General features: G+C 40.5%; 1 protein-coding gene across 11 annotated transcripts in view, besides 2 other annotated features; it reads right to left on the bottom strand.

Annotated features, from left to right (window-relative positions):
* Positions 1 to 16,928, bottom strand: part of FAT3 (FAT atypical cadherin 3) — a 671,656-nt gene that overhangs the window by 218,244 nt on the left and 436,484 nt on the right. The gene's annotated exons all lie outside the window — the stretch shown is intronic.
* Positions 6,093 to 6,303: a silencer, noted in NCBI's record as "fragment chr11:92405093-92405303 (GRCh37/hg19 assembly coordinates)". NCBI's record gives its function as "represses an EF-1alpha promoter that drives an FKBP-Casp9 reporter gene in an ReSE screen in K562 erythroleukemia cells {active_cell/tissue: K562}" and the evidence as "EXISTENCE:reporter gene assay evidence [ECO:0000049][PMID:32094911]".
* Positions 10,260 to 10,832: an enhancer, noted in NCBI's record as "NANOG hESC enhancer chr11:92400564-92401136 (GRCh37/hg19 assembly coordinates)". NCBI's record gives its function as "activates a minimal SCP1, AML or CMV promoter by ChIP-STARR-seq in primed H9 embryonic stem cells {active_cell/tissue: H9 hESC(primed)}" and the evidence as "EXISTENCE:reporter gene assay evidence [ECO:0000049][PMID:30033119]".

The raw sequence follows: 16,928 nt of genomic DNA, 5'->3' as shown, positions 1-16,928 counted from the left end.
TAATTCCACCTCAGCCTCTGATTGATCCCCTCCCAAAACCAATCAAACATGTACATAGGGTGTAACTCTAATTTCACTTCAGCCTCTGATTGTTTCCCTCTTGCAACCAGACATTTGCACAGGGTGATTTGTAGTTACACATTTGTAGTTACAAATTGTAATTAACTTTGAAGTCACAAAGCGAACTTTGTAACTTCACTTCAGCCTCTGATTGGTCACCTCCCACAGTCAATCAGTCTGGTTGGGACCACTCCTTCATTTACATAGGGTGTAACCAAGTAACCAATGAGGAGCCTCTAGAAAGCATTTAAACCCCATAAAATTCTGTAACCAGCACTCTTGAGCCACTTGCTGGAGCCCACTCCCACTGTGTGGAGTGTACTTTCATTTCAATAAATGTGTGCTTTTGTTGCTTCATTCTGTCATTGCATCGTTTGTGTGTTTTGTCCAATTATTTGTTCAAAACACCAATAACCTGGACGATCAGCAGTCAAGACCTTCCATCAGTAACATTACAAAAGGTCTTGAGGCTGTGAGTTCTTGCTCTCTTACCCTTCTGCTTTCTTCCATGGGATGAGACAGCAAAGAAGGCCCTCATCAGATGCAAACCTCTTGACCTTGGACTTTCCATCCTCCAAAGCTGCAAGAAATAAAGCTCTTTTCTTTATAAATTACCTATTCTCAGGTATTCTGTTATAGGAGCACAAAAGATAATCCTGCTGGCAGAAAATTCCAGGGAGATGGATGTAACTGCTGCCATCAGACAAAAGAGGTCAGTGTGAAGGTTAAAATATCTAATCTCATTTGTATCAATGGACTGGATTCAAATCTCAGAGTTCATTTTAGCCTCTTGCAAATGAGACTATCAGAGCAACTCTCTGCTCCTCCGGGCAAGGATCTCTTACTTACATATCCCTTTTACCCAGGTGTATTCTTCCTGTATAAATGGGGCAGTTCTGTATCTCTTTTCTTCTATCATGTCACTGTTTTTGGTAAAGGACTTTGTGGCTTTTGGTAAGAGAGGCTGCACCAAAAGAAAATGGAAAAAGCTCTAGAGCGCAGAGAACAAGGCTAAACATCTAAGTTTCTGCCTTAGATAATTTATGATCTTATGCAAGTCACACAAGCACTCTGTGACCCAGTATCTCGCCTGTAACAGGGATAATAATAACCTAGTTTAACCACGTAGCTCATCCATTTACCATCATCCATGACATTTCAACAACTGTGTCTTTAGTAGCCTAAAGTCCCAACTCAACCTGATATTCAGAGCACATTATGACCAGATCCCAGCCTTTCTTTCCAGTTCTAACTCTCCTTTGCACTGTGCCTGTACTTAGTACTTTAATAAGTGCCAGTTGAGAGAATGGATATAAATGAGAGAGTCCAAATAAGACAACTTTAAATAATCTGTTTCAAATAGAAAGTATTTTCAGCTAAAATGAAACAGCAATTAAAGTCTCTCCTCTTTCAGGCCTAAATATATAGCTATGAATAAGAAATAATACACAATAATAAGTTCTCCAGCCATCCCGTAATTGAACAATCTCACTTTGACTAAGATCCACTTCTTCTCAATCTTACTTATTTCAGAGTCCAGTTTAAATTTCATCTCATTCTTTGATTCACTCAACAAAAATGTATTGAAATGGAACGGTTTCAGGCCGGGCACCAGGTAATTTTACCTCTTTCAGGAGGTTTCCAGGTGTGGCCCTTTGGATATAAGACCTGCCATTTCTTACCTCTGAGTGACAATCATGAGGGGCTTAGCTGTATTTTAAGATAACCAGAACCAGGCAGACTGGATTTCAGTCCAAACTTTACTATTTTGATTTCTGTGTGACACTGAGCAGACTCTATTTCCTTATTTGTTAGGTGAGGAATAAGACCAACTGTATGTGCTTATTAGAAATATAAATTATGATCATACATATAAAGCATCTAGCATGAAGCCTGAAGCATTATAGGTGACAAGCACATGCGAATAACTGCCTTATCCTGTCCTCTGCTGGGCCCAAACTAAACCAGTTTCCATTTGGAATAGTTTTCATTTTGGTTAAATGTATTATATTACAGTAGACGTAACAACAATTATTGTAAGCCAGAACAGATATTTGCTGCTCGCTGCTTTAAAAGCATCCGTACTTTCTTTTTTCTTATCTCTGTGGCCTCCATCTCTATGCTCATTGCCACCCTCTCCTATTATTAGATGTTGGCAGGGATCTCACAGAAGGTTGCTCCTGTCAACAGTCTCAGGATGAAAACAAAAGACCAGAACATCCAGGCAGCAGCATCCTCTTTATAGTTTTCTCACTTGCTAAAGTGAGAGACTGGAGTGATCACCCAAAATTACCCAATCAACCTAAAAGGGGAGATGATTTTTTTCTCCTGCAAAACCTTTAAACAAGAAATAATACAAGAGAAATGAATCTTGTGTTTCACTTTTCTCCGAATGGTTCTTAGCGGAGAATATGATCAAGTTAAATTTAAGTTCAATTTGACCCAAGTTCTTGTAAGATAAACGCACCTCAAATGGAGGGTGATGGGAACCTCATTACTTAGAATTGGACAAATAACCTAAGACAGTATGATTATAACCTGGCAGCAGCAATGGTTTGCTTAGCAAACTGCCTGAACCTCTACTGGGAACATTTAACACCGCTTGTATTTTGAAATCACAGGCTACATCTACAGGCAATAAAGACTGTTATCTCTCCAATTCATTGCAGTTGCACAAACACCCAGTTAATTCAGCTATAACACATCTGCCCAGAGAAATATTTACTTTTGGAGCCTCTTGGGTATGCTTTAAATTTCTCCTAATTGCTGCCCATTGAGTTTTAAGTTTAAGTGTTGTTAAGATGAACTTTAGGTCCTTCTCCTATACTGTGAAGTTCACCACTATATAGTTGCAAAGAACAGATTCTCAAATGACCAAGCTATACATTTAGGAACTGTTTTCTTTTTCCAATTGCACAGATGAGATGCTCTCTAAAACTAAGAAGACAAGTTTTTCTCACTGTTAGTTTGGCTTCTTGGTAGAGCAAACAGACGATAAATGTTTCTCAAGGACCACAAAGAGAATAATACTCATGCTTCCTGCTTGAGAATTAGATTTCTCAACTACTGAAGCTGTAGGAAATGAATCCTCAGGGCACCTTTTTAAATCATGAGGGTAACAAGCATTCTCATCCTACTAAAATGATAAGAAAACTGAGACAGAGGAAGATCAATTTCAGAGGAGGAACAAGGAATAAAACCTAGCAGTTCTAATTCTCAGAGGAGGGCCTAATTATGAAGACATCCTAATGAACAGAACTCATTTATCGTGCTCCTTCCAAAATCCTCATTATGTGCATTTTTTTCTAGATCATTTTATGCCTTGAAGAAGTAAGATAAAGAGGCTGAGCTAGTGGCTTATGCCTGTAATCCTAGCACTTTGGGAGGCCGAAGTGGGAAGATCGCTTGAGCATGGGAGCTTGAGGCCAGGCTGAGCAACATAGCGAGACCCCGTCTCCACACACACACAAAATACAAAAATTAGCTGGGCATGGTGGAGCATGCCTGTAGTCCTAGTTACTTGGGAGGCTGAGGTGGGAGAATCACTTGAGCCCTGGAGTTCAAGGCTGCAGGGAGCTCTGGTCACGCCACTGCACTCCAGCTTGGGCAACAGAGTGAGACTCTGCATTAAAAAAAATTAATTAAATTAATATTAAAATAAGGAGTAAGGTAAAGTAACATAATTCAGAACCAATAAGCAGGGTTAGAGTGAGTAGGGGGAAAAGAGGGAGTAGTTAACTTACTGACTCCAGGGTCTCAATGTTTCTCAGAGCACTAAAATCCATGCTTTCCTGTGCATCATAGTATACACCCATAAATCTCTTTCTTTCTCCTTGTCCTAAAGCTCAGGAGCTCCTTAGAGGAACCAATATCACAGTGGTCCATCCTCCACATCTCCAAACTCCTTCTTTCTCCATCACACCCAGTATTTGTCTTAACAAGTGTCTCTTTATTATTATTATTATTATTATTATTATTATTATTATTTTGAGATGGAGTCTCACTCTGTCAACCAGGCTGAAGTGCAATGGCATGATCTCAGCTCACTGCAACCCCCACCTCCAGGGTTGAAGCAATTCTCCTGCCTCAGCTTCCAGAGTAGCTGGGATTACAGGCACGTGCCACCACACCCGGCTAATTTTTGTATTTTTAGTAGAAACATGGTTTCACCATGTTGGCCAGGCTGGTCTCGAACTCCTGACCTCAAGTGATCCAACCACTTTGGCCTTCCAAAATGCTAGGATTATAGGCATGAACCACCATACCTGGCCCAAAACAAGTGTTTCTATTGATAAGTACATAGAAACTTATCAATCTTATCCTCCTGGAAGTCTAGGAGGATTCCTCACTCACCTGGTTTCCTACCAATGTTCAGATTTGGGACCATCTCCATTCCAGACTCCTGAAAATTTTTTTAAATTGCAGGATTGGAGTCCAGACTAGTTTGAAAAGTAATGCATAGAGATCATGTCATAGCTAAGAAAACAGTGCACCATAAAAAACTAACATAGCATAGCACCATTGAGGCATCTTCTGAACACCAAAATACCAACTTAATTGTAAACTTTTGGAGGCAACCATCTTTGCATCTGAGTGCCTATCAGTTAACCCCCACTAGGAAGTCTCCCCAACCCCTTATTGTCACCCAGGATGGCTTATACAGTCTTCTTTGCACTCGTATACTGCCATATCAAAACACCTGTTATTGCTGATGTACTTGCCTGAACTCTACCATGAGTTATCTAAAACAGCTATATTCTCACTATCTAATACAATGTAGCCCATGATAAATATGCAATAGAGTTTCGTTGGATGAATACATATAGTGGATGTTCACTAGTGTTTATTGAATTGAACATAATTGGATACTTAAGTTAAAGTATAAATAAAAATGACACTTAGAAAAATGTTTGTAGTTTATGACTTCTTTGCGGAGCCCCAAATATGAGCTGGTCTTATAAAATTGAGGAAATAACCTAATTTCAATTTAATTCCCTTTTTAAAATCAATATGAAAAATTAGCTTGACCTTCTGAACCCAAGGTCTATAGTAAAGTAGCCTAAATTAAAAGCTAAATCAAACTGATGAGTGGTTTTTAGTAATAATCCAAAACAGAATAAGAATTATTAACTGTTAGAGTTGGAAAATTTTAGAGTTGATCTCAGAATCAATACATGAATCCTTTCTGCAATATCACTACCAGATGGTCAACCAACCTCTACCTGAATTCTCCTTACAGCTTTATGACAGGTTACCCTTTACTTCGGAATCCAAAAGAGGAATCATAAATTCCTCCTCACAGTGACTGAAAGATGGATTCCTATAATATTAACTGAGTTCCGCCTTCCAGCAAAACAAAAGAAAATCTACTCCTGTTCTGCTTGGCACCTCTTGGAATATGTGATGACAAACACTGACCTCTCCTTTGTCTTCCAAAGATAATTGTTATGTCCCAGTTCCTCTCTCAGATTCAAATATTTCAGTTCATGTTCCATCATGGTCACCTGCCTCTAAATATGCTCCTTAATCTGTGTATCTGTGTATCACCCAAAGAGGCAAAGGGGTGGGGACCACTATGCTGACTGATATATTTTTTTGGCAATTCTAATTGGCACAAAGACCTGCCCTCATTCTGCTACTTTGTTTGTCACCAGGGCCTAAACAACAATATGGTTTCCAGAGACTTTCCATTCTAAGAGACAACCATTTAAAACAAAGGGAAGGGTCTTCAGCAATATTTACTTCAACATTTTCAATGTCTGGAAACACTGCAAAGTCCATTTCTGCTATAAAGATATTTCTTCTAGATTTTCCTGCCCATCTGACAATGGGCAGGCTGCAGAGCATGTGGATGGATGCCTGACTCTAAAAGGGTCTTTCAAATGTGATCATGATGTGAGAATACCAAGTCCTGTGAAATGTGATTTGATGAGTAGGTCTGGGGATGAGAAGGTACCTACTGAATATTTTTTTCTGTTTGGTTAGCAGTTAAACATGGTAGAAATCACATTCATTCGTTATTTAAAAAATATTTATTTATTTATTTATTTGAGACAGAGTTTTGCTTTTGTTGCCCAGGCTGTAGTGCAGTGGCATGATCTTGGCTCAATGCAACCTCCGCCTCCCAGGTTCAAGCGATTCTCCTGCCTCAGCCTCCTGAATAGCTGGGATTACAGGCACCCACCACCACGCCCAGGTAAATATTATTATTATTTTTTGTATTTTTAGTAGAGACTGGGTTTCACCATATTGTCCAGGCTGGTCTCGAACTCCTGACTTCAGATGATCCACCTGCCTTGGCCTCCCAAAGTGCTGGGATTACAGGCGTAAGCCACTGCACCCAGCCACATTCATTCATTCATTCATTCCAGAAGTTATTTAATAAGCCACTACTATTATCTAAGCACCTTACTCAAATGTAAAGGGATATAATGAAGAGCAAAACAGATCCGATGCATGCCTTCATGGAATGTACAGTCTAGCAGGAAAGACACATGTTAAACAAATAAGTGCACAAATATGGGATTGGAAACAATAAATGCTTTGAAGGAAAACTAGTGAATGCAATAAAAAGGATGAGAGGACCAAACTTAGATTTCAGTGTACAGGGAAGGCCCATTTGATCAAGAGACCTTAAAGGTGAGTCCTGGGAGAAGGACACAATTTAGTCAAGCTGAGGACGGGGGCAAATGTTCTAGGCAGTAACCAGCATGTTTCCATTATTAAATAATTTCTGGAATGAATTAATGAATGAATTATGGTGACAAATTGGTGAGTAAAGAAAAAACTTGATGAACTAGTGAAACGGAAAGAAGGCTAGTGTGGCTTCAAAGTGTGAGTCAACACACCTGTAATTCCAGCACTTTGAGAGACTGAGTGGGTGGTTCACTTGAGGCCAGGAGTTCCAGACCAGCCTGACCAACATGACGAAACCCCGTTCCTACTAAAAATACGAAAATTAGCTGGGCATGGTGGTGCATGCATGTAATCCCAGCTGCTCAGGAGGCTGAGGCACAAGAATCACTTGAACCCAGGAAGCGGAGGTTGTAGTGAGCAGAGATTGCACCACCGCACTCCAGCCTGGATGACAGAGCGAGACTCTGTCTTAAAAAAAAAACAAAAAACAAAAAACAAAAACCGTGAGCCAAGGAGTGATGGTGTCAGATGAGGCTGGAGGGCATGCAGGGGCTTTGAATGTCAGGCTTGGGATTTTTTAAAAATTTAGTTTTATAGCAATGGAAAGCTACTTAAGGGTTTTTGAGGAAAGGAGTGACATGACTGATTGTCAGCCTGGGATTCAGAGGCTTCCTGAGCCTTCCCCTAGCCTGTGAATAAGCTCCAGCTAGACACAGAGTGTTTTTATGTCCAGACAATATGTTCACCCTAACCTGTCTCACTTCCCTGCCACAGGTGTGACCCATTTATAAAATGCTTTTTCTCTTTTGAAACTCAAGCCATTTCTTTTGCAGATGTTATCACAAGGTAAATAATCTAGCTTCCACTCTGCTACAGAAAATTTCAGGCAATGGAATTCAGGAAACTTGTGTCATGAAAAAGTCTGGCCCCAATTCCCAGGCACTTGCGAGCTGGCTCAAAAGGATACCTGATATGTCAACACAACTCATCCCCCCAAACAAGGCAGTTCGACACATTAACAAAGTGCTTCCTCCCAGAGGTAATTTGAGTATCCTCTAAAAGGATGCTATTTGCAGCATTTCATTAATAAAGAAACATGTAACGCAGTTGCAGATCCCTATCTGGAAAAGGCTGCACAGTGATTTTGTATAATTGGATAGGGATAGGCTCTAGTTTTGTGCTGATGGGCATGGAGGATCTGAAATTTGTGAGTGTGAAGTCTGCTTTTAAGGAATGCTCCAGAATGGAAAACAGTTATTTCAACAAAAAGCAATAAAACCTCCCTATCACAAACATACTGGCTTAAGAGAAACAAGAGGCTGCCTGTGCTTCAAAAGTATGTTTATAAAGCAAATGCCAAGTCACCAGGAACAGCAGCCATCTCCGGGCAGCAGCAAAAAGAAAAAATTAGAGCATTAATAAAAATATTAACAGCACTTTTATGTTATCTTCTAGCCAGAAAACACCACTGTGGTACCCATACAAGAATAATTTTTGTGCCATTTGACAGCTTAGAAAACTGACACAAAGGGGTTAAATGGCTTCTCTGAAGTCATGTGGCCAACTGGTGGCAAAATTAGGTCTTGGACTTCCGATTAATTTTCCTTCTGCAGTCCATGCTGCCTATTTTGAATAATAGTAGTAACAGCTGTCTAGCGATTAATTTCCATGCTCTCATATAATCTTCACAATCACACTGCAAGGTTGGTATGATTATTCCCATTTTATGGATTAGGAGCAGCAGTTCAGACAGTACATGATTGGTCCCAGGGCCTGTGGCTAGAAGTGATTGGGCTGGAATTGGAAACTAGGATTGCCTGTCCTGAAAGCACATGTTCTTAACCACTGTTAATTACCACCCCACCTCTGGATATACTGGCCAACCCCTCTTACCCTAACCCAGAATGCAAAAACTGGCTTTTTGTTCATATGGGGTCAGAACAAAGACAGGCAAAGTGCTGAGGAACTGGTATTGTCTTTAAAGCATAAATTCTGGGTAGGACAGACCAGATCTGGGATCAAGAGGCATAAGAGGGATGTTGTCAATATCTGCATATTCATGAAGGCATAAACGCAATGCACACAGGCTTGCCTATGAAATAATAAAAGGGAGCTGTTGAGTATTGAGGACTCCCCTATGTGCTTGCAGAGGCACCAGTTATTTCATTCAATTTGCACTATAGCTGTGTAGTATGCATTTTGCAGTCATCACTCTACATGCATTAAGGGACTTTGTGAGATCACAAAGCTAGAAAACTTTGGAGCCGGGATCTGTCTGAAGCCAAGCCCAAGCCTTCAAGGGTGAAAGAATTAATTCTCCAGGTAAAAAGAACATATTACTTGAGGTTGCAAGAGTTAACTTAGATGCTTTATCCTAGAGCATGGAACAGGGTGAAACCACAAGTAAGATGAAAAAAGATCTAGAAAAGTCAAAGTTGATGGTACTTTCGAAGGTGTCTTGGAAAACCAGGGATGCTTCACAGGACCCCCTGTAATCTTGTAAATTAAAATAACTGAAAACAGCTATGTCTACCCACAGGTATCCTTTGGTGCTATTGTCTAAGTGCCCTGAGTAGCTCATGACTTCCACATTTTACCCAATCCCTAAGAAAGAGATTCCTTCCCTTGTTGGGGAACTTAAATGCTGCTCGATACAACCGATCCTGAAAGTTTACACCAATGCTGAAGTGGCACCACAGAATATTAAAGCTTAGAAGGTGCTCAGAAGTTATCTGATCCAATCCTCACATTTTACATATAAGAGATCGAAGTAGCTGAGGCCTAGTGTAAAAACAGATCCATTTGCTAAGTAATTTAAATTATGTCATCCATGGTGCTAGGAATTTGACATACATTTATTCTAAATCTCATGAAGGTCCTGCAGGAAGGTATTATTTTTTCATTTTACAAATAATGAAAAGTGAGGTTCAGGAAAGTTAAATAACTTGATCAAGGTCACGCAGCTTGCAGGTGATGGAGTCTAGATACAAGCCCATATTTGTGAGTCCAACACCCAGTCTTATTTCTCCATCCCCATGGCAATCTCTCTTTCTACTAAGATGTGACACAGTGTTAGGCCCATGTGAATTGGAACCATCTGGATTATTGGAGAAATAGAGATTTCCATGCCCACTCTGATATCCTATCCTGAATCTCCTATGGGTAAAGACCATGTCTTATTCTTCTTTGTGTCTTCTATTTTATGTGCAGAATACATAGAAGGTATTGAAGATGTGTATTTGCAAAAAGGCTACCTTACTGCTGTAACAGAATTGAGCCCTATTAATTGATGTCATATTTGGCCAACCACTATCCTGATAATTCTCTACTGTATTTCATTTGTATTCATTTGGCAACTTCTGATAAGAACTCTGGATAAGTTCTTGCAACTTTGGTATCTTGCCTTCCAGTCATAAAGACACGCTCTGCTCCCAAACCAGAGGAGACAAAAATAAAGGTAAAATATGAGCTCAACAAGCAATGCAGCTTTCATGCTGCTCTGATGATCTTTCCTAATGGAGAGCCCAAGGCAGGCTCACATCCTGTTACCCTTCCCTGAGACAGGCTCACCTCTATTTGCACAAGGAAAGCACACACATCATTATGCTGCTATTGAAAAGGCCTTGGTGGCAAAAGATGCACATGATCCACTTTTATATGAGAGTCTGACATTTGGGCAGTAGAAAAAAAGAAATCAGTTCAGGCCAATGACATTTCTATGGGAAAAGCCCCAGCTCCACAAAGGAGTGAGTGAAAGTGGCAGTTAACCCCGTGGATGCCTCATTGTTCCTCATTCATGACTGGGAACACTAGGACCTCCTCGAGGAGGGCTCAGAGAAAGGGGGCTGCCACCTGTTGCTAGGGATGACATCAGTGACCCAGCAAGAGCCAACATTCTTTGGGCGGCTTGTGTGTGTGTGTCGTTAATCAGCACTGGCTCCTCTGCAGGCAGCCCCATTCAATAAGATCTTGACTGTCAGCACTCTGGCTTCAAACTTCCAAAGGGATCTGCCAGAATGCATGGCCTTTATCCTAAAGGAAATTGGCCCATGTTCAAAATTACCTTGGACGGGAGGGGTGATGATGGTGTGGTGATGTTCTCTTGGTTTTTTGTTTCCGTTGTGTTTTGTTTATGAGCCTGCTGGGGTTAAGTAAGAGGGGAAAGGGTACAAGAAGGTGTGGAGAAGGGCAAGAAGCACCTACCTCATCCCACTTGCCAGGCACAGGAAAGAACTCCACACGACACATCTTTTGAACAAAACGGATGCTGCCACGTCTCACTAGCTTATAAAAATGTTTTAAATGGTGGACAGTTCCTTTAAGAATTAAATGCACATGTGTAGCTAAATCAGATCTAATACCAAGTTGGCATCACAGATATGAAAGTTACAAGTAGAACCTTAGGCATCACTCCTTCATCTTACAGGTGAGTAAACTGAGGCCCAGAAATTATCTGTCTTTGTCTGGTCTGTGCTGGCAAGAGATACCTAGCTCTCGGTGTAGCTGGTTTCCGCTTCTTCCTGGAAACAAAGCTGGACTAGACTTCCCATCTCCTCACGACTAGACCCCATTGGCTGGGGTTACTCACATGATTATGCCTTGCAGCATAGGCACAACCATGTGAATGACTCCAACCAATGGAGTGTGAGGAGATGGGATGTGTGCTCAGGCTGGTCCAGGATAAGCTCCCATGCCCTTGCTTCATGCTCTTTCCCCTTCTACTGTCTTGCGGCAATATGGCTGGACTATAGCTCAGCTCTCCTACCTTCCCTTTCACCCACCACAGTGCTATGCCATGTTGCTATCTCTCACTTTAGCAGAACAATTCACACCAGAAACCTACCCCTTAAGAATGTGTCTTAAATGTCCTTCAATGCTGGGCACAGTGGCTCATGCCTGTAATCTCAGCACTTTGGGAGGCCGAGGCAGGCGGATCACGAGGTCAGGAGATCGAGACCATCCTGGCTAACATGGTGAAACCCCGTCTCTACTAAAGATACAAAAAAAAAAAAAAAATAGCTGGGCGTGGTGGCGGTTGTCTGTAGTCCCAGCTACTCGGGAGGCTGAGGCAGGAGAATGGCGTGAACCCGGGAGGCAGAGCTTGCAGTGAGCAGAGATCAGGCCACTGCACTCCAGCCTAGGCAACAGAGCGAGATTCCGTCTCAAAAAAAAAAAAAAAATCCTTCAAATTGATTCATAATTATGGATTAGAAATTAAAATAATATTAACCTATCAAGTATTAGCTGCTCCTCAGCCAAATTAACACCTTTATCAATTAAATCATCAAATGGATATGTTTTATCTTGACTCCTCTCAAGCTTGATGTTCCTAGTTTACTACTTTTACTACTTTTATAACTGAACCCTTTTTTTGAGCCACTTTTTAGCAGCAAGCTGCCAACAGGTAATGTCACAAAATTTGTATCAAGTGAGATGGTTAAGGTGTTTATGAACAGAGTGCTAAATAGAGAAAAATATAAGCTTAGAGTGCAGTTTTTTATTTTTGCCTTTATTTAAAAAAATTTTTTAGAGATGTGGTCTTGCTATGTTGTCCAGGCTGGTCTTAAACTTCTGGCCTCAAGTGATCCTCCTGCTTCAGTCTCCCAAAGCACTGAGATTACAGGCATGAGCCACTATGTCTGGCCTATTGCAAGCAAGTTCTAAGTAGAAGAGAAGGAAGACCAAATTAGAGGAACCGGTATCTTTCCACCACAGGAAATGTCACTGTCATTGTAACACCATGGCTACATGATAATATGAACATAAAAGTTCTTGAAGTATCATGAAGAAGAGAGGAGGGGAGGACTCTAACAATTTAGACAGGAGAACATGGGCAAATAGACCATTTTCCTCCCAGAGTTTGGAGCTGAGACCACTAAAATGAAAAAGAAGAGTTCACATGTGACTGATCTGTGGTCATTCCCATAATTTTTAGGGTTTCAGTGATCAGCCACTGAGATGACACCAATTTCTTTACAATTCAATTCAGGGAAGTTACAAAAACTCTAGAAGAACTACCTCTAGGAGACTTCTGAAAAATATAATTCTTGCTATTACTAGTCTTTCCTATTTTGAATATTTTGTTTCTTCTCTCTTTTATTAATTAGAAAGAGAAACCTTGCTGTCAACAGAACCAGATGAACATGACTACAGTTGGTGCTTGTTAAATTTTCAAAAATCTGTTATTTTTACTGGAGTCATTTTTCTGTACTTGACAACATCATGTTGTGAGAGGCATCTGGTCAACCGTTCGTCTCTGGCAAGTGCACAGCAGAGACGAACTGAGGTCAGATAACTCGGGGCAGTAGCATTCAAACCAAATGCCAACGTGCATTTGTGGGAGGTTCTGAAGGAATCTTTATTTTTGAGGCAAACAGAGATTCTTCTAACCTCTTCCATCTTACAATATTAAAATGATTTTGACTGTAGAACAGAATTGGATAAAAATGACCTAACAAGCTCTTGGAGGAACGTGAGTGCAGATCAGCACTGCAACTGTCATGGATGACAAATGAGACAAATGTGGCCCCTTGCTGAGGATTTTTAGGGTGGATATTTCAGACCAAACATATGACCAAATTACAAGTGTTCCTTCTTTATTAAATGTAATCCGCAAACAAAATCCAAAACAAATAACCCATCCACCCTTGTTGGGAGTGGGGATGGGAAGAAGCACTAAATAGAAAGTGAGGAATTCATAAAAGCATCCACTTCAAATTGCAAAGAAGTAAACAATCAATGTAAAATTTGACTATATTGCATAAGAAAGATGTTTTTCTAAAGGATCAGGAGTTAATTTAATGTTTAAAATTCTGGGATGAAAGCATGTATCAAATTTATTACCTAGTTCATGATCTCTTTCATAAGCTACACTGGTAATTATTTTTCTTTAAAGAGTCATAAATGATCTCTTTAAAAAGTGTGCATGTGTGTGTTGGTAGGAGTGACACATTTGCCAACCACAGATATTGTGTTAGATGTTTTATCTCTGGTAACTCATTTTATAGAATAACAAAAGGCAAACTTAAAGGAGATTTGAGAGCCTAGTTAAGAAACAGCACATCAATAATCAATCTCACACCAAAATGTGAGATTGTAGTCATCTCTGTCCTTCATTTAATCCACAGATATTGAGGACCATCTCCTGAGTATCAGATGACATAAGAAGAACTAAGATCAATGAGACCATCACTGCCTTCAAGCAGCTCATACCCTAGTGGAAGAAGCCTAAATGGTAAAATAGCTCATTACAATACAATAGATTAGTAATGCTAAACTAGTCACTTTATGTACTTTCAATTACTGGAGCACAGAGTAGTAAGCCAATCACTTTGAAGGGGCAACAAAGGAAAGAATCCAGTTGGATTTCTGAGGGTGAGTAGGAGTTTGCCAAGTAAGAAAAGGACATGCCATGCTGAACATGTATTTTGTGTAAAAGAGTGATGATGAGAATGAGCATATACACCTGGAAAACACAAGACCACTCACGGTTTTGTGTGTGTGTGTTTGGGGGAGGGTGGGTCGTGTCAAGATTGAAGACAGAAAAGGTAGAGAAAGGCAAATTATGAAGGTTCTTTTATGATATTCTAAGGAGCAGGGTTTTAGCCTTTGGTAGAAGAGAACCAGTGGTGATTTTTAGAATCTCAAAAGATGCTAAAAGTTACATAAGCTCATCTCTATTTTCAAACAATAACTGGCAGTCACATGAAAGCTGGACTGGGAAGATAAAAAATGAATGGAATTGGCTGGTGTGGGTCTTCTTTAAGCCAAAGTGGTGGCAATGAGTAAGAGGAAATGAGCAGATTCATGAAGAGGGAATTTGGATCTATCAGATATGACGACAAGTGTGATGTGGGAAGATAGAGACAGCATTTAAGGGCGATAACTTTTTTTAATGTGCTTTTCAGTTTGACCAACTGAGCAGGTGTATGTGCTACTTCTTGACAAGGAGGAGTAAGTTTACATTGGTAGAACTTTGGGACATGCCAGATGTAAGATTTTACACATAAAATCCAGACAGAGTCGCTGCTCAAGAGGCAGTTGCTATTTAAGTCTCAAGCTCAGGAGAGGGATGGTTATATTTTTCAGTCCATCAGCAACTATACTCTCCCTAAACTGCAGGTCTGATTCTGCTTAGTAATCTCCGTTAGCTTCTCCATTGCCTGTGGTATCAGGTGCAAACTCATCTTGGTCTTCAATGCACACTGTGACCTAGTCTCAATCTCTTCTCCCACCCTTAACTCCTTCAACCTGAATGCTCAAGACAGAAAAACCACTCAACCTTCCTGCAATACAACTCATCATACTTGCTCTTATTTCCAAAGCTTGGAATTCCCTTTCTACCCAGACTCACTCCAGGTGCTGAAATCTGAACTGTCTCAGGTTTCAACTAGCTTGGCCTTAAAGTGTTCCCCCAAACTCTCTTAGTTCTAAAAAATTTCCGCTTCCTCTGGGCTTCCGGAACACGTGCTTCCCACCCCTGGTGCATGGTCTTATGTCTTCCAGCCTACCCCATCACAGTCTTCCTAAGCCAGTCTCCAGCAATGAACTGGAGTCTGTGAGGAACCGGGCCATTCCCACAGGACATCCTAACTAAAGGAGTGCTGAGTGGAATGGCTCCTTGGGCTTACAGCATACAACATTCTTTGCTGTGCTCATGGGAGCACAGAGACTTCTTATCACATTGCCAGCTAAAAGCTTCAGGGCTGATCAGTCAGTTCCCAGTGGGGAATAAAGAATTCAAGATGATGTGATGAAACATGACAAATGACTTAGTGAGCTGACAAAATTGCAAAGATTAGACCTTCCTTTTTCTCTGGTGTTCATCCGGCTTCTCTACGTATCATGACCCTTCCTGCATAGCCCAAAGTGTCAAGACTTCCATGAACAGAACACAAGAAGAGGGAAAATGTGTTTTCTTTGGCAATTTAATTGTGAGGTTTTGATGTTTATGTACTCATTAGATGTTTTTAGTGATTTTTGCTACTTGCATGAAAACACAGGCATCTGTGACTCTGACTATGGCTAAATCCAGGCTGTAACCTCAGTTGTCAGCAGTTTAATATCTTCCAGGAAAACAACATGGCTCAACCTCTGAGCCATTTTAACACAGTTACTCCATGAAAGGAAGCAGAGTAATGAGAAGTGGACCTCAAAGAAGAGGCATCCTCTTCTTTGTTAATTCTCTCATCACTCAAGAATTAGAAATGCAGAAACAAGTAGGAAAATGCTCCCCAGGCCCAAATGCCACCTCTAGTTTCTTCTATGCTTCCATGGCTGACATCTTACTTGTGCCTGCTCCTGATAATGGCTCCTGGCATAATATGCCCTGTTCTTATTTCACATTAGCTGACACAGTACTAGTAACTTGGATTTTGAGTGCCAATAGGAATGGATATGTCCTTAGACTCTGGTAATAAAACACAACTCCTTCTGTATCTATACTGGTCTGGTCTGGTATGTTAATCTCATTCTGATAATTGTAATAACAGTCGTAATAATATTAATATAGAGGTAGAAAAAAATAGAGTTCTTCTGCTTGGCTACCAAGAGAGTCACTTTTCCACATAATAATCACCCACATTCACAGATGTGTAAGGCATGCATCTTACATCTGCTTGAAGCTCTTCTGGCTCTCCAACAAAACACAAAGATTCTTTGTATTTCTCCATCTTATAATTCCTTTCTCACAATCTCCACCTGAACTATATAAATAACCAGGGCTTATATTAGGAAAAAATTAGATGCTGATTTATTGATAATTTGTTAAATGCCTCTCCTCTTCAGTTCTTTCTGAAACATTCCTCTTTGCAATTTCTAAAGAGAAATGAGTTTTTTCCCCCACATGAATTTCTTGATGCTTCCAAACAGATCGGTAGAAACGGGACCATTTATTTATTTGAATGGGCATGTGTCAACATATTCTTAAAAAAAGAAGACACCAGTGCATTATAGCAGAATGCAAAAAAAAAAGCACTCCACACCACACACATTAATGCCCATCCGTTACACCTCAGATTCCACATGTGAAACTGTCTTTATGGATGCTAGGGCGTCCTCAGAGGCAGGATGTGGATCTTGGAATTGAATTTATTTCAAGGGTTCACCACATATGGTAATGGAATCTCCTCTCAGAGCTGTGGGGCAGTTCTAGATATATCATGGATGACTGCCAGGGTTCAAAAGACCACACACCTTTCTGTCGGCTTCATGTGACCATCTTTAATCAAGGT

Source organism: Homo sapiens, chromosome 11 (assembly GCF_000001405.40).
Source record: "Homo sapiens chromosome 11, GRCh38.p14 Primary Assembly".
NCBI lineage: Eukaryota > Metazoa > Chordata > Mammalia > Primates > Hominidae > Homo > Homo sapiens.
Note: the sequence above shows the minus strand (reverse complement) of the source record. Positions and strands in the feature narration are given on the sequence as shown.